General features: G+C 37.7%; 1 protein-coding gene across 10 annotated transcripts in view; it reads left to right on the top strand.

The window, feature by feature from the left end:
- SPAG9 (sperm associated antigen 9) overlaps positions 1 to 17,842 on the top strand; it is a 158,695-nt gene that overhangs the window by 110,781 nt on the left and 30,072 nt on the right. For 9 of the 10 annotated variants that reach the window (NM_003971.6, XM_005257771.4, NM_001130528.3 and 6 more), the window contains 10 exons: positions 2,762 to 2,819; positions 3,851 to 4,003; positions 4,825 to 4,876; positions 8,243 to 8,373; positions 10,371 to 10,427; positions 11,471 to 11,644; positions 13,394 to 13,523; positions 14,555 to 14,644; positions 14,864 to 15,031; positions 16,153 to 16,324. In NM_003971.6, the coding sequence (NP_003962.3) occupies positions 2,762 to 2,819; positions 3,851 to 4,003; positions 4,825 to 4,876; positions 8,243 to 8,373; positions 10,371 to 10,427; positions 11,471 to 11,644; positions 13,394 to 13,523; positions 14,555 to 14,644; positions 14,864 to 15,031; positions 16,153 to 16,324 (1,185 nt within the window). Of the gene's footprint in view, positions 1 to 2,761; positions 2,820 to 3,850; positions 4,004 to 4,824; positions 4,877 to 8,242; positions 8,374 to 10,370; positions 10,428 to 10,600; positions 10,613 to 11,470; positions 11,645 to 13,393; positions 13,524 to 14,554; positions 14,645 to 14,863; positions 15,032 to 16,152; positions 16,325 to 17,842 lie in introns of all 10 variants that reach the window. The other variant, NM_001130527.3, reaches the window with a different exon arrangement.

Here is a 17,842-nt window from a genome sequence, read left to right as displayed (position 1 = left end):
AAAACTGCCAGGCAGTTTTTTTTTTATTTTGCTTGTTTTTAATAAGTAAAGTTTTCAAATGTATTAGACCTAAGTTTGTGCTTCATTTAAGTCTTGAATAGAAATGAGGCCACTTTATGTTTTTCTTATAAAGAGTTATTGATCATTTCAAAATGAAATTTTAGATAATCCTATTGGTTATATATTCAATTTATACACCATATATTAAGATAACTCTTCATTGGGAATGTGTACATTTAATGTAAACTTTATTTATTTATTTTTGCCATCTCGGAAAGGCTTTATTTCTACTTCATCCGGGTCTCATGCAGACTCAAAGGCACCATCATGTGTTTCCATTTGGTATCCTCATGACTTTTTGTAGTGTTTTCCCTTAAGAGTAAGCTCTGTACATTGCCAGTTAATCTTTTAATGATAATTTTAAAATGTTGTTGCTGTTGTATCATTGATGCAAAAAGACCAACAATAGAAGTACAATACAAGGAAATTCACAACATATTATAGTGGGACAGACTGAGTCACATTTAGGTGATGGTGAGGACGCAGTAGCAGTATATTCATGCACCCAAAGACGTGCAAGCCAAGTAGGATAATATATGGATCATACGGTGAATTTTCTAAGCCCACTGAGGACTTTGTACCTTTTCAAAAATGTCCTGTATACCCTCCAGTTTACAGAATTATCTGTCTTGTCTACTGGCTTCATGGCTAATGTAAACTTTAGAAACTATATTATAGGATTTGTTTTTCCTGTAGCACACATTTCAATTTTTTTCCTTTTTATAAATATTTACACTTCATTGTGTTTAGTTAATGGTTTCTCTACATCTTGTCAATTTCTTTGTTTCCTCTCTCTCATTTTAAAGTAAATGAGTTTAGTTCTTGCTTTCTGAAAACAATCTAATTGAGATTCTCATTCATTTTTCTCTTGGGCTGCTTACGTAGGGGAATATTCTGGTGTGTATGATTTTGAATATTTTAATATTACTGCTTTTTAAGCTAGGTGTTCTTGGCTGCTGTTCTCATCTAATGCTTTCTCATCATTTTTTTCTGCTCAACTATTTTTTTGCCTTTCATATATTTTCAGCTTCCACGCTTATCTAACTGCTTGAGAGTTTATAGCAAACATAGTTACTATATAAACTGTTTTCAACCAGTCTACATTCTTATTTCTTCTGTCTCTATAACTTTGTTAAAAAGTTAACATTCCCAGCCATTGTATCTACAAAGGAATAAAAATTTAGCATTAGTGTTTAAAGCAAATATCTTGCCGAAGATCATTTTGGAGTTAGAATTTGGAAACTTTTTTGGGACTTTTATTTTGTTTTGTTTGGTTTCAGTTTGTAGATAATACATAGGTAGATGATTAATCTATTTCTGATATTTAATTCTTTCTGGTGTAAGTACCCTGATCTTTGAGAAAATTAGAATATAGACAAAATATGAGTCCAGGTACACAGAATATGTAGCATTCCTAGGTTGGCTGTTTTTGTTTTAAGTAATTTTTAAATCATTTGGAAAATTACCTTTTTTAAAATAAAGGGACATGTTAACTCCTTTGTCGTATGTAGTTTTCTTTAGAAAGATTTCTTTCCTGTTTACTTGGGTTATGATTATTACTTCTTCCATTGTATGTGATTTTCCAACATTATTAGCTCACAATTCCTTGAAGATGAGTGACTGGTGGGTTTTTTTTGTTTTGTTTTGTTTTGCTTTGATTTTTTGTTTTTTGAGTGATATTCCCTAGTGTGTTATTTCATTTCTTCAGTTTCTTAGGAAAAGCAAATTAATAGCTTTCTTCTCCCTAAAGACCACTCCATTGGATCTTGCATTGGATGCTCTACGTGCTTATCTCACAGTAGTCATTAAAATGCCAAACACGATCAAAGACATTCACTCAAGTGATAACTGAACATTATTATTTTATAGGTGGCACTTTGAAGGAAAGTTTGTATTGTTAATTGAAGATTTTCAATCTAATTATAGTTAATCTTATTGTGAGAAAGAATTGGTAAAGCATTTTTTAGGTATATCAGCATCCTTATGAATGAAGGAAATCATCTTTATTTCTGTCTTTTGCACATCATTATGCATTAAATCATAACATTGTGATTCCAGATGTTTTTCATATCATGTATAAAACTTTATAGATTAATAATCTGTTTTCATGCTGTTTCTTACGTAAAACATTTCTTGTTCTTTGTTTTTGCTTTACATGGAATGCATGGGCTTTAAGACCATAATTTCTTTGGTAAGGTTTCATCTGCCTTGGGGTTCTATCTTTCTTTAGCCTTGTTTTTGCCTGTTCTCTATTAATAAGGTCTAATTTTTAGGCAAAAGCCTACGAGGTCAGATGTGATTTAGAAACAATTTCGATCCATATTAAAGCTGTTCTTTTTTACCCTATGTAGTGTTGGAATATTAGAATATTTGGCAGAAAAGTCTTGATCCTTTTGAAATATTATCTATGAGAAATATAGACTAACAGATATTAAAAATTGGCCTCATTCCCTAGCAAGCCGATTCAGATTTAAAAAAGAAATAGGCCAACAAAATCTTTAGCCTTGTTCGTAATGAATAATTATTTATAATTTTATAATCTATTAAAGTAGGTCCATCAAATGAAATTATAGACAAAATAAAATTAATAAAGGACAGATAAAATTTCTAAAATAAAACTTGTGACTATAGCTTATATTTTAAATGTATATAATTATTGATGCATTTATTTTCAAAGTCTTTATCTTTTTTCGTTTGATAGGAATGGGTCGGGAAGTTGAGAATCTTATATTAGAAAATACACAACTGTTGGAAACCAAGTAAGTATATGTGAAATTTTAACAGAAGATAAAGAATTTTCTTCTTGTCCAAGTCAATGACACTTCATCGTTTTAACATAATACTAATGGAATCTCCCTGTCCCATCTCGTTCCCCAACTCTGAGTGTGCACACACACACACACACACACACACACACCCTAATGTTGGGACCTACACTGCCCTGTTAGATATGTTCCCTTGCCCTGTTTTTTTGTAGAAACACAGATTGTCATCTCCTTTTCACTCTATAAGTATCCATGCCTTTTTCTTAATCTTCTAAATTTGTCCTGGTTTTACACTTTTTTTGCTCCCTCCCTTAACATTTGTCTGTTTTCTTATCTCTTCTCCTGGGGTTTCTTTTATTTCCACACAAATATTTTCATGTATACTCAGCCTTCCTCTTCAGAGCTGTCTTCCATAGCTGTGCATTCTTGGGTGCAATTTGTGGAGTCTTAAGCCCTCAGACACATTTAATGGGACAGATCCCCAGTCATGTGGAAAAGCTGACTGGGTTCCTTTGTCAGTTTGCTGTGTCAGAGCAACTTTGGAACATCTGTGTATATCCAAGACAGAATGCAGTTATAATAAGGTCCTATGCCCACTATACCCAAAGGAACTGGATATCAGGGTTTTTTCTTCAGCGTAGACTGTCTTAACTTTCCAGTTTAAACTGTTTTCTCATTATTTATTAAAGGTAACATCAAGAAATAATTTTACTTTATTGATTGGGTAATATATTCTGAGGAATTATTAACAATAGTAACCTTTTGAATGCTATTTTTAAAATTTAATCTTCTCACTTTTTAGTAATTGATGATCTGTCTTGTTTTATTCATTTGATAAATGAGTAAAATCTTAGACTGTTGCTTTGTGTTCTTTTTGCATTTATCTACAAACAACATTGGGTAGAATGTCTTGAAGTATTAAATTATTATTGTCTATGGTTGTACAGTTTAGTCTACAAAGGAATAGCTGAAAGATGGAAAGAATATTTATTTGTAATGATGCACTTGAAATATGTGTTTCTTAGAAATGCTTTGAACATAGTGAAGAATGATTTGATAGCAAAAGTGGATGAACTGACCTGTGAGAAAGATGTGCTGCAAGGGGAATTGGAGGCTGTGAAGCAAGCCAAACTGAAACTAGAGGAAAAGAACAGAGAATTGGAGGAAGAGCTTAGGAAGTAAGTTTTAACTGTGTTGTTCTAAACCAAACTCTTTGCCAGTTATGCCACAAAGGGTTACAGATGTAACCCTGAGACTGAGACCTTCTGTCCACTCAAGCCTGGAAGGCCAAGAGCTGCCTGGGAGAGGGCAAAGTGCCCCAGCCCATTGCCTCTGCTGTGAGCAGGCCCCTCCAGTTGTTAGCCTGTCATCTAAATATTATTGTCTTTTGTTTTTTGTTTTCTGTTTTTTTGAGACGGAGTCTCACTCCTGTTGCCCAGGCTGGAGTGAAGTGGCAAAGCCTTGGCTCACTGCAACCTCTGCCTCCCGAGTTCAAGCGATTCTCTTGCCTCAGCCTTCTGAGTAGCTGGGATTGTAGGTGCCTGCCACCACACACAGCTAATTTTTGTACTGTTAGTAGAGACAGGGTTTCGCCATGTTGGCCAAGCTGGTCTTGAACTCCTGACCTCAGGTGATCCACCTGCCTCGGCCTCCCAAAGTGCCGGGATTACAGGCGTGAGCCACTGCACCCGGCCTAAATATTGTTATTTTTTATGTCTATAATGATGCAAAAAGAGTTAGAGACTGTTCAAACATCTTTGTTTTGATAATAAGGAAATTTAAAACATTATTTTTTTATCCCACTTTCTTTAATACCTGTTTATTTCTGAACAATGCTATGATATGATGATACTCCACCAAATGAGGGTGGCTAAATACCCTGTTTGGGAAAAGAAAAATAATCCTTTAGTGGTAGTTAAAATTGTTGACCTACTCTTATTTTTTTGAAAAGATGAGCTCAATTCAAATAACATGTTTTGTTTTGTTTTTTCCCCACTAGAGCTCGGGCAGAAGCTGAAGATGCAAGGCAAAAAGCAAAAGATGACGATGATGTAGGTTTACAATTTTGGACTTTTTTTCTTACCTTACCATGTTTTGGTGTTTCGGGAAGATCTTCCTACGTAAGCTTTGGATATAATACTATAAAGATTTTTAAAAGTCAGGAGACATGTTTATGGTCATGAATAGGATAGCTCATGCTTCTGCATGGTATCCAGATGCTGAGCTTTCTAGCTCCATGCAGTGTGCTCATTTTCCCTCTGTGCCTCTGTGCTCTTACCTGTAGTTGCATGTTCAAGTTTGAGGACCAACTGGGACATTTTGGGGTTTTTGGTTGTTGTTATTGTTGTTTCGTTTCAAATTTTGATTTAGAAATATGAAAGCTTAATAATAAAAATTATTTAACAGTATTAAAAAGATGAAGTCTAGAACTTTAGTACTAGTCAATTAGTTCATATTGTTGTGAACATAAGTACAGAAGAATAAATATGAGCTTCTTGCTAATATCCTTAGCATACCCCTAGTCTTTTTTTTTGAGACAGAGTCTCAGTCTGTCACCGAGGCTGGAGTGCAGTTCTGCGATCTCAGCTCACTACAACTTCCACCTCCCAGGTTCAAGCCATTCTTGTGCCTCAGCCTCCCGAGGAGCTGGGACTACAAGTCTAATTTGGCTAATTTTTTGTATTCTTAGTAAAGGTGGGATTTTGCCTTGTTGGCCAGGCTGGTCTCTAATTCTTGGCTTTAGGTAATCCACCCTGGTCAGCCTCCCAAAGTGCTGGGATTACAGATGTGAGCCACCCAGCCCAGCCTCATAATCATTCTTATAACAAATGTTTGCAGGTCAAAGGTCAGACCAAAGATATGTGGTTGTTTTGGACAGAATGATCACTTGGTGCCCCTTCAGTCTCTGTTTTTTAGTATCTTATGTAATGATACACACAAAAACAAGTAAGACATGCAGGTTATGAATCATAATAAATTAACATTGTGAACCTACCACCCAATCTGATAATTAGAACATTACTAGACATTGAACTATTCTGTGTTCCTCCCCTGCAGAGAAAGCTGCTATCCTATATTTATCATTTGCTTAACTTAAAAAAAAAATTTTATCATATCACATATGTATATATGGTTTAATTTTTCCTTTTTTGTGTTTCACACTACATTTAGTCTTGGAGACCAGCTTCTTTTCCTCAGTGGCATGTTTTTGAGATTCATCCGTGTAGTACAGTGCTGTAGTTATCATTCATATTCACTACTTTATGATATCCCATTGAATGAATAGTCACAATTTATGTATTTATTTTCCTGTTAAGGAATATTTAGTTTGTCTCAGCTTTTTACAATGCTGTTGTTACAAACATTACAGTAGAAGTCTCCAGGTGGGCAGGAGCAGTAGCCTTTCCAGAGTACATACCTACTAGTGGGCTTGCTGTGTTATAAACTTAAGATCTTTATCATTTGTTGTTTAACTTTATTGAAAGGAGAGGCCCAGTTTCTATAACAGAACAACAAAGGAGGAGGACTGCTAAGGGCTAAGCTTAGTGTCTTTCTTATGTCCCAAACCTTTCAGCTTTGATCCAAAATGTGGATAATGAAAGCCTATAGGACGTTGACTTGAGCCATGTTCCCTTGAGGTCTTACCCCTGTGCTCACTCTATATTCACATACTCTGTCTAAGAGTAATTCTGGCTAATACAGTTGTCTCCATCTGTTTGCATTTATGTTGGTATTTTAGCGACTCTTATAGTTGAGTACCTTGGTAACTAGGTAATAAGTTTACCCTTAATGCTGGTCTTGGGTGAGTATGTGGTTTGGTAATTTGAGATAAATGGAACTAACTTATAACTATTTTCTGAGTGACGATTGTTACAGAGCATGAATTAAAATAATGGTAGAGCAACATTTTTAGGTGAAACTTACAATAGTGTATTAAATCTATGTAGATAACAATTTTGGTTTTAGTTTAAAATCTGCACTATCCTTTATTTTTATTTTAGTATTATTACTATTTTTTAGAGACAGAGTCTTGCTCTGTCACTCCTCCAGGCTGGAGGAGTACAGTGGCAATCATATCCCACCACAGCCTTGAACTCCTGGGCTCAAGTGATCCTCCTGCCTCCGCCTCCCAAGTAGCTGGAACTACAGGTGCATGCCACCCCACCTGGCTATTAATTTAATTTTATTTTTTGTAGAGCCAGGGTCTCACTATGTTGCCTAGGCTGGTCTTGAACTCTTGGCCTCAAGCAATTCTATGCTTTTTTTTTTTTTTTAACTTCAGCCTCCTGAGTAGCTGGGACCAAAGTTGTGCGCCACCCCATACGTGGCTAATTTTTTATTTTCTGTAGAGATGGGATCTCACACCACATTGCCAAGGCTGGTCTCAAATTCCTGGGCTCAAAGTGATACTCCCAAAGTGCTAGGATTATAGGCGTGGACCATCGTGCCTGGCCCTACTGTTTGTTTTTGTTGTTGTTTTTGTTGTTGTTGTTGTTTTGTTTTTTAAAGACAGGATTGCACTCTCTTGCCCAGGTTGGACTGCAGTGGTATGGTCATGGCTCACTGCAGCCTTGACCTCCCAGCTGAAGCAATCCTCCTACCTCAGCTTCCCAAGTAGCTGGGACTACAGGTGTGTGCCACCACTCCTGGCTACAGGGTTTTACTATGTTGCCCAGGCTGGTCTCAAACTAAGCTCAAGCATTGTACCCGCCTCAGACTCCCAAAGTGCCGCGACTACAGGCGTGAGTCACTGCGTCCAGCCCCCTACTATTCTTTTTATTTTTTAGCTTTATTTTTTATATATTTTTAAGAACCATGAGAACAGACCCACACTACTCTTTATGATTTCTTTATAATATGTTCAAATATCTGTGTATATATATTCAGAAATTAAATTGCTGCCTTTTATCTTTGTAGTCATGAGTGATTATTTAAATCTCTTTGTTGGCTGGGCACAGTGGCTTACACCTGTAGTCCCAACACTTTGAGAAGCTGAGGCAGGAGCACCACTAGAGTCCAGTATTTCAAGATGAGCCTGGGCAACATAACGAGACCCTGTCTCTACAAAAAAATTTAAAAATTAGTCAGGCGTGTTGACATGTACCTGTAGTCCAAGCTACTCAGGAGGCTGGGGTGGGCAGATTGCTTTAACCCAGAAGTTCCAGGCTGCAGTGAGCTATGATTTCACCACTGCACTTCAGGGTGGGCAACAGATCAAGGCCCTGTCTCAAAAAATATATTTTTTTAAAAAAAAGTCTTTGTTGATTTTGTTTTTATAAAGCCATTTTTCTTTAAATGATCTACTAGATTAAAAATTAAGGAATGCTTAAAAACTGAAAGATTTTGCATAACTCTGAGATGAACACCAAGACATTTATAAGCTTCCAGAATGATATGTCATTTTCTTGTCATTATAGAGTGATATTCCCACAGCCCAGAGGAAACGGTTTACTAGAGTAGAAATGGCCCGTGTTCTCATGGAGCGAAACCAGTATAAAGAGAGATTGATGGAGCTTCAGGAAGCTGTTCGATGGACAGAGATGATTCGGTTTGTATGACAAGCGCTCCATTATTTTCCTACTATTATTTTGTAGGTTTGAATATTCCTTCATGTGGAACTTAAGTCCTGCCCTGTAAGATCCAAGCCCCTTTCTCTGTTTACTAGGAGAGACTTTTTAAAGTAACACTCAGAATTAGCAACAGAATGTGATCAAAGGAGGTGCTTTTTGGGCCAGTAAGGGATCTTGGAGGATGTTACTACGACCTCTAAAAGGCAATTATTATTACTTAGGAATGATGGTCATTTTTCAAATATAGAAATCAATACTACTTACCCAGTAATGTCAGGAAAAGATCACAATTTCATATGCAACACAGGAAAATAAATTATTTTGACTCAGTGTCTTTCTGTAAAATACTCTTGCTTGATTTCTTTCTCTCTTTTCTAACTGTTCATGCCAAGTACACCCTTCCATTGGTATCTTTCAGTCAGATGGCTCTTAAATCTCACCCAATGCTGCCATCTAATGGTTGTAGTCTCAGTAATAGTGTTTCTTTAATTTAGAAAGAACTGAAAAGTTTGTAAATGAGCTGCCCCCTAATTTACCCATATTTTTGAGTTTGGATTGTCATATCAGATTTACCAATAATAGTATGCATTGACATGTTGTTTTTAAGTTTATGAACACATTCTCTAATTGCCAACTTTTACTTCTTTAGGATTACATCATTTATTTCACAGTTTATGTACCCTTTACCAATGTTATATTAGAATCAAGTGTTTTAACATATCATTTTACAATTTGCTGTGATAGTAATTGCTTATAACTGCCCATAAGGAAGATCAGTATTCTAATCTATATTTATTAGACAAGGAAACTAACCCACTAGAAAGTGTATGTTCTTAACTGCAGTATTTAGTGGATATCGAATAAATAATAAGTAAATATTCAAAAAACTGAAAGTGGACCTTATTTATTTATTTATTTATTTATTTATTTATTTATTCATTCATTTATTGAGATGGAGTCTTGTGATGGAGTCTTGCTCTGTGCCCAGGCTGGAGTGCAGAAGTGTGATCTCGGCTCACTGCAACCTCCACCCCCTGGGTTCAAGCAGTTCTGCCTCATCCTCCCTGGTAGCTGGGTTTCCAGGTGTGCGCTACCATGCCCAGCTAATTTTTGTATTTTTTAGTAGAGACAGGGTTTCACCATGTTGGTCAGGCTGGTCTCGAACTTTTGACCTCAAGTGATCCGCCCGCCTCGGCCTCCCAAAGTGCTGGGATTACAGGTGTGAGCCACTGTGCCCAACTGGACTTCACTTTCCATTGCTGTTTTTAACTCTAGCAGCCAAGTGGTAGTCAACAAATTAAAGGAAATAGTAGCTTACTTTTAACTACTTCACTGAAGTAAAGAATGTTTTTAATTTAGTTCATAACAAAAAAGTAGTGAAAAGAGAGCTCTGATTATGATGGCAGAATCCCTACCACCTCATAAATCAATTTGGAATATCTTATTTTCTGAAATTTTGTTGAATCACCTGTCAATCCAGTTTATCCTCTTCCCTGCTGTGGTCATCTTTCCAGTGATGGAAAAGTTTTAGTCTTGTGAAAAATGACCCCTCAGGATGCCAAAGTTTCAAGCTATTTTGTGAGAGCTCCGAGTATAGATGATAGAGACTTTTATGTAAAGATGGGAATTTACAAGGCAATATTTTAATAAAAGGGAAAGTTAGAGGGTATCTTTTCAATAAAAAATTTTAAATATCATTCAGGCATGTTGGCTGTCTAGCACATATTACAGTCCTCTGTCGGTAGACTAAGCTCTTTGAGGGAGGGATGATATTTTATTTTTCTTAGTAGAATTAAAGTCAATCTTTAGCAGATTGACTGACACATGGTAGGTCAAAGTAACTACAGTATTTATTGAACTTAATTGTTGACTCCCCTCTGTGTATCCCATGAACTTCTTGGGTCTCTTGTTCTTCAGAAAGAAAGGTAGAATACCTCACTGATAAATGTTTCTTTTCTTTTCTTTTTGAATGTAGGGCATCACGAGAAAATCCAGCCATGCAGGAAAAAAAAAGGTCAAGCATTTGGCAGTTGTAAGTATTGAAAAACAAAGATGTTAGACAGCACATGAGACAAGAAAATTACAGTCAAAATTTATTTCCAAGAATGATTTTATGTCCATTTTCTTTCCTTCATTTTTTTTTTTTAAACTAGGGGTAATGGTTAAGTAGCTAAACTGAACTTTTTTTTTTTTTTTAATATATAGTGTGCCAACTCGGTAAGGCTCTTCTCAAGGACAAAAAATATGATATCGTAAGCTGCATCATGTTGACTGTGCATTTGTTGCAATCCTCTGCCAAATTTAAATAATGGGGAATTATTTAGAGACTTGAAAATGACCTGGATCCCCATTAAATAAGTTTCTGATTGGCTGGTTTTGTGATTGTAAGAAACTTTACAAAGTGAAGATGAGAAATTTAGTGCTTGTAGGGTTTGAGTAATATTGTGTATGTATTGAGCTTGAGTTATGTTTGTGCTAGAAGTACTATGTGTTTACTGTGATTAAAACTTACCCTTTTTTGGTGAATCTGCTATTTAATGGAAGTGTCAATTAAAAAAGAAATAGACCCGAAAGTAGTTGTTTAAATTGAGCTTAATCAGAAAATGTATAAAATGTGTGTTAACATGGTAATATGTGTTCCAGTACTTGATTATAATAAGCTGTTTTTAGAACTGGCATACTAAGCTTCCATTCACATCACACAGCCATAACCTTGCGGTTTAACAATCGCTCTTACCTTGCACCAAGTAGGAGCTAGCAAAAAAACCAAAATATATTTATTCAGTAGGAGAAGTTTCCTCTATTTAAGAGCTTCTTGCTTTCATTATACAAATTGCTAGTTAAAGAACAGGCACCCGCCATTCTAAGCAATAGTTTCTCTTCACTGAATGTCTGAGTTTGGCTACGAGTTACTGCTAAGGCTACAGCGTATGACTACAAAAACTGTTTTTGCCAATTTCTAACTCATTGCCTTGTAAAAGTACTCTGAAATTTTCTTCAACATTAAAGTTTGTGGAAAATCAAGGATTGTTTCTCATAGTACATGTGACACACAGACATACTGTCTTCTTTTAGTTTCAGCCGACTTTTCAGCTCCTCAAGTAACACGACTAAGAAGCCTGAACCACCTGTTAATCTGAAGTACAATGCACCCACGTCTCATGTTACTCCGTCCGTCAAGAAAAGAAGCAGCACCTTATCTCAGCTCCCTGGGGATAAGTCCAAAGCCTTTGATTTCCTTAGTGAAGAGTAAGTCTTTTCCAAATTAATCATTATATTCTAAATTAAGTTAGTGGTTCAGAATATTCTTGGCCTCTTATCAGCTCTAAGGATTCAGGTAAATCTATAAAAAAATCATTTCTGGGCCAGGCACGGTGGCTCACACCTGTAATCCCAGCACTTTGGGAGACCGAGGTGGGCGGATCACAAGGTCAGGAGTTCGAGACCAGTCTGGCCAATATGGTGAAACCCCATCTCTACTAAAAATACAAAAATTAGCTGGGCGTGGTGGTGTGTGGCTGTAATCACAGCTACTTGGGAGGCTGAGGCAGAAGAATCGCTTGAACCCAGGAGGCGGGGTTGCAGTGAGCCGAGATCATGCCATTGCTCTAGCCTGGGTGACAGAGTGAGATTCCATCTTTAAAAAAAAAAAAAAAAAAAAAAAAAAAAATCATTTCTGTAACTTGGCTGTCTTTAAGTAAATTACTTGTAGTCAAAAGTTTTTATGAAAATTGCTTTTCAGTTTTTATAAAAGAGAAGGATTTTTTTTTAAATGCCTCATTTTTGCTGGTATGACAACATTGATAAATACCTATTAATAGAAATGTGAATGGCCTTTAGAGGTAAATGAGCCTTTATCCTAAATGTTTGAACATTTCTGTTGGTGTCAGAGGACTTGGTTTTCCATCCTGACTTTACTACTCATTAGGTACAAACACTTGGGCAAATTAACCTTTCAGAGCCCCCAGTTTCTCTGTCTGTAAAATTAATCTGATAACCTATCTCAAAGGTGATTGGACCCAATTATACAGTTATCTGTAAAGTATCTGACATATAGGTAGATATGTTAACTGTGGTATATATACATAGCAACTCATCTTATGAAAATTTAAATGGCCAAAATAATGGCAAATTATTTTCAAAATCATTTTAATAATATTTTACCTTATAACTCCAAAGTTTACCAAATCAGTTTGCATTTTTATTTTCTGAAACAAGTTAATGGGATCTAAAATCTAACCTATATCAATCTTCCTAAGCAGATATTGATTTACTCAAGTTTTAAATCACTTCTAGCACGTTTTCTGGCATTAGGATATTCTCAGTAAATATTTGTTGAATGAACAACAACAACAAAAAAGCCAAACATACTTAAGAATTTTCCCCTTTCATATGGCCAGCATCTGAAACCTGATATAAATTTGGTGGCTGATGATTCAATTTAATGTAACAAAGCTGCTTGGTAACCTGTTAAAGCTTAGGCACTGAATTCACTGCACAAACTTAAAAAGACCAGCTTTAGTATAACACTTTGTTTGTTTGTTTGTTTGTTTTTTGAGATGGAGTTTTGCTCTTGTCCCCCAGGCTGGAGTGCAGTGGCACCATCTTGGCTCACTGCAACCTCCACCGGGTTCAAATGATTCTCCTGCCTCAGCCTCCCAAGTAGCTGGGATTATAGGTCCGCACTACCGTGCCTGGCTAATTTTTGTATTTTTAGCAGAGACGGGGTTTTACCATGTTGGCCAGGCTGCTCTCGAACTCCTGACCTCAGGCTATCTGCCCTCCTCGGCCTCCCAAAGTGTTGGGATTACAGGCATGAGCCACCGTGCCCGGCCTATTATAACACTTTTTAAGGAGCTGTTATAGTTGAAATAAACTAATTTGAAATCATGTAAATTTTTGTTGTTTTTGCTGTTTTAGTGACAGAGGAGAGATAAAACTGGGGATAAACGTAATTAAACGTATTCATGTAATTAGGAAAATCTTTTTTCCTTTTAGAACTGAAGCTAGTTTAGCCTCACGCAGAGAACAAAAGAGAGAGCAGTATCGTCAGGTAAAAGCACATGTTCAGAAGGAAGACGGTAGAGTGCAGGCTTTTGGCTGGAGTCTGCCTCAGAAGTACAAACAGGTAATATGCACATGTGGTAAGAGCATCCAGCAGGAAAGAAGAGGGCAAGTTGAGTGTGCGTGGGCATGAAGGATTCACTGTACGCATCCCAGCCCTGCTCATCTCAGCCGCATGGACTGGGCACACATTTAAGCATGGAGGGTGGTGGTTTTCAGGCTGTTTTCTAGAGCTGTAGAACTCAAATGAAATGCTCTGAGTCTGTGAGGGGGGGAGGAGTCAATAAAGGGTGGCTAAGTGCATGGAGTTTGAGGTACCCGCTCTGCTGTAACCAGAGCAATTCTGGTTTAATATTTGAAGATTTCATTTTTTAAAAAACCAGCATCATTGTTGAAAAAATTATTGGCATGGAACTTTTCAAACTGTTCATTTAAAATTAAGTTCAGGTCTTCAGGAATTTTATCTGTCTACTCCATAATTCCTACCCCAAAAGACTCACATGTTCATGTACAAACACATATGCATGTGCACGTGTGCACATATGTGTGAATTAGAGCCTCTTTTTGAGCTCCCATTATATCCTGTTTATTGAATTGCTCAACTTGATTTTTCTGTTTTTCAAATAAGAATGGCAAAATTGGCTGATGCCTGTCATTGGCTCATGGTGCCTGTTATTGACTCATGCCTATAATCCTAACACTTTGGGAGGCCAAGGTGGAGGATGGCTTGAGCTCAGGGAGTTTGAGACCAGCCTAGGCAACATAGCATGACCTCATCTCTACAAAAAATTTAAAAAATTAGCTGGGTGTGGTGGCCTGTGCCTGTAGTCCCAGCTACCTTGGAGGCTGAGGTGGGAGGGGACCGCTTAAGCCTGACAGATTGAGGCTGCAGTGAGCCATGATCAAGCCACTGCACTCTAGCCTGGGCAGTAGAGCGACCCTGTCTCAAAAAAACAAAAAAACAAAAAACCTGAACTTGATTTCAAGGAGTAAATAACAGCAGTGCTTGCTCATGTCTCAGTGGATCTGTAATAAGTTCACTTTTGATGAGGCTTACTAATGTGCCTTTTTCACTCCTCCTTCCACCATTATTAGGTAACCAATGGTCAAGGTGAAAATAAGATGAAAAATTTACCTGTGCCTGTCTATCTCAGACCTCTGGATGAAAAAGATACATCAATGAAGGTAAGTTCATTGTGAATTAAAAGGAGATGTTTTCTAAACTCTGGGTAGTTTTTTTTCTAAAACCAAAAAAGTATAAGTATTACTTCTATGGTGAGGTTATTGTTCATTTTATAATATTAGGTTATAAGACCTGTATTTACAACCATTAGTTATTTTAAGAAAACATGAAAATGCTAAACATTTCTAGACTTAATATTGTTTTCTTTTTCACCTGAGAAGCTGTGGTGTGCTGTTGGAGTCAATTTATCTGGTGGGAAGACCAGAGATGGTGGTTCTGTTGTTGGAGCAAGTGTATTTTACAAGGATGTTGCTGGTTTGGATACAGAAGGCAGTAAACAGCGAAGTGCCTCTCAGAGTAGTTTAGATAAGTTAGATCAGGAACTTAAGGTAAGTGTGTGTACTAACATTTGACCTGGTTTATGAGACTATGAGTTTAACTCTTTCATCCAAAATTTGCCTCTGGGTCCAGCTTCTAATTGGGATTACTATGCCCTGGCTTACTGTCCCTCAGCACCCTTTTAAAATCAATTTTAAAATATTGAGGTATAATTTACATGCAATAAAGTGTGCACTCGAAATGGGTATAGGTCAGAGTTTTGACACATGTGTACACGTATGTAATCACTACAGTGATCAAGCTAATGGAACATTTTATCATTGTTCTGCTTTACCTGTTAGTTTTGTGTTGCTGTTTAGAGACAGAGTCTCACTCTATCACATAGGCTGGAGTGCAGTGGCATGATCATGGCTCACTGCAGTGTTAACCTCCTGGACTCAAGTGATCTGTCCACTTCAGCCACCCAAGTAGCTGGGACTACACACCCACACCACCACACCTGGCTAATTTTATTTTTTGTAGAGACGAGGGTTTCACTGTGTTGACCAGGCTAGTCTCACACTTCTGGCCTCAAGCAGTCCTCCCACCTCAGCCTCCCAAAGTGCTGGGATTACAGACGTGAGCCACTGTGCCAGCCTAACTGCTAGTTTTTCATCTACTAATTAATATTGATAGGTGGTTGTATTAGTCTATATTCACACTGCTGATAAACACATACCCGAGACTGGGAAGGAAAAAAGAGGTTTAATTGGGCTTACATAGGTAACCTCTGGGGAGGCCTCAGAATCATGACAGGAGATGAAAGGCACTTCTTACATGGTGGCAGCAAGAGAAAATGAGGAAGAAGCAAAAGTGTAAACCCCTAATAAACCCATCAGATCTCGTGAGACTTATTCACTATCACGAGAATAGCATGGGAAAGACTGGCCCCCATGATTAAATTACCTCCCCCTGGGTCCCTCTCACAACATGTGGGAATTCGGGGAGATACAATTCAAGTTGAGTTTTGGGTAGGGACGCAGCCAAACCACATCAGTGGTTGTATTTTTACCCTTCCAAATAATCTGGAAATAAATTTGAAATAGTATTGCCTTTTACTGTAACAGCACCACCTTATGAATATTTGTACATACATATTGTTTTAAACATTTTTCCTCCTTTGCCTATACAGGAACAGCAGAAGGAGTTAAAAAATCAAGAAGAATTATCCAGTCTAGTTTGGATCTGTACCAGCACTCATTCGGCTACAAAAGTTCTTATTATTGATGCTGTTCAACCTGGCAACATCCTAGACAGTTTCACTGTTTGCAACTCTCATGTTCTGTGCATTGCAAGTGTGCCAGGTAAGAGTGAGTCATGCGTTTCTCTGCCCTCCCCTCCATCCACCTACCTGCTGGGCACTGATGTAGCAGCTGAAGATGCAGTTCTGCACCTTGCTGTCATGAAGCTTATGTTCTAGTTAGGGAAGATTAAAAAACAAACTGGAAACCATTGAATAAAGAAGATATTTTCAGGTAGTGAAAAATACTGTGAAGAAAATAAAACAATGGGAATATGAGAAAATAACTGGGAGCCAGAGGACTGTTTGGATTAATTAATAAGGAAAGGTCTTCTAAAGTTTTGGATTAAACATTATGTGATGTTAAAACATTAGTTTAAAAATTAAAGAAGTGTATGTGATATATCCATATGTTGGAATATTATTCAGCCATAAAAAGGAATGAAGTTCTTTTTTATATTTTATTGTGGAATACTTAATATGAGTTCTACTTTTTTTTTTTTTTTTTTTTTGAGACAGAGTCTTACTCTGTCACCCAGGCTGGAGTGCAATGGCATGATCTCGGCTCACTGCAACCTCCACCTTCCAGGTTCAAGTGATTCTCCTGCCTCAGCCTCCCGAGTAGCTGGAATTACAGGCACCTGCCACCACGCCCGGCTAATTGTTTGCATTTTTACTAGAGACGGGGTTTTACCATGTTGGTCAGGCTAGTCTTTTTTTTTTTTTTTTTTTGAGATGGAGTCTTACTCTGTCACTCACACTGGAGTGCAGTGGCACCGTCTCGGCTTACTGCAACCTCTACCTCCTGGGTTCAAGTGATTCTTTTGCCTTAGCCTCCCAAGTAGCTGGGACTACAGGCACGAGCCACTACACCCGGCTAATTTTTGTATTTTTGGTAGAAATGGGGTGTCACCATATTGGCCAGGTTGGTCTCGAACTCCTAGACCTCGTGATCTGCCCGCCTCGGTCTCCCAAAGTGCTGAGATTACAGGTGTGACCCACCACCCCGGGCAGTCAGATTAGTCTTGAACTCCTGACCTCAGGTGATCCACCCGCTTCGTCCTCCCGAAGTACTGGGATTACAGGCATGAGCCACTGAACCCAGCCTGAGATCTACCCTCTTAACACATTTTTGTTTTTGTTTTTTTGAGACAGGGCCTCACTCTGTTGCCCAGGCTGGATTGCAGTGGTGCAGTCACAACTCATTGTACTCATTGCAGCCATGACCTTCCGGGCTCAAGTGATCCTCCCAGCTCAGCCTCCCAAGTAGCTGGGACCACAGGCGCACACTACCACACCTGGCTAAGTTGTTTGTACTTTTTGTAGGCAGGGTTTCACCATGTTGCCCAGGCTGGTCTGGAACTCCTGGGCTCAAGTGATCTGCCTGCCTTGGCCTCCCGAAGTATTGGGATGCCCAGCCCTCTTAACAAATTTTTAAGAGTACAATACATTATCCTCTAGGTAGAAGTTCTGACACATGTTATAACACAGATGAACCTTGGAAACACTATGCCAAAGGAAATAAGTCGGACACAAAAGGACAAATATTATATGATTCCGCTTATATGAGATATCTAGAATA

Source organism: Homo sapiens, chromosome 17, assembly GCF_000001405.40.
Source record: "Homo sapiens chromosome 17, GRCh38.p14 Primary Assembly".
NCBI classification, from domain to species: domain Eukaryota; kingdom Metazoa; phylum Chordata; class Mammalia; order Primates; family Hominidae; genus Homo; species Homo sapiens.
Note: the sequence above shows the minus strand (reverse complement) of the source record. Positions and strands in the feature narration are given on the sequence as shown.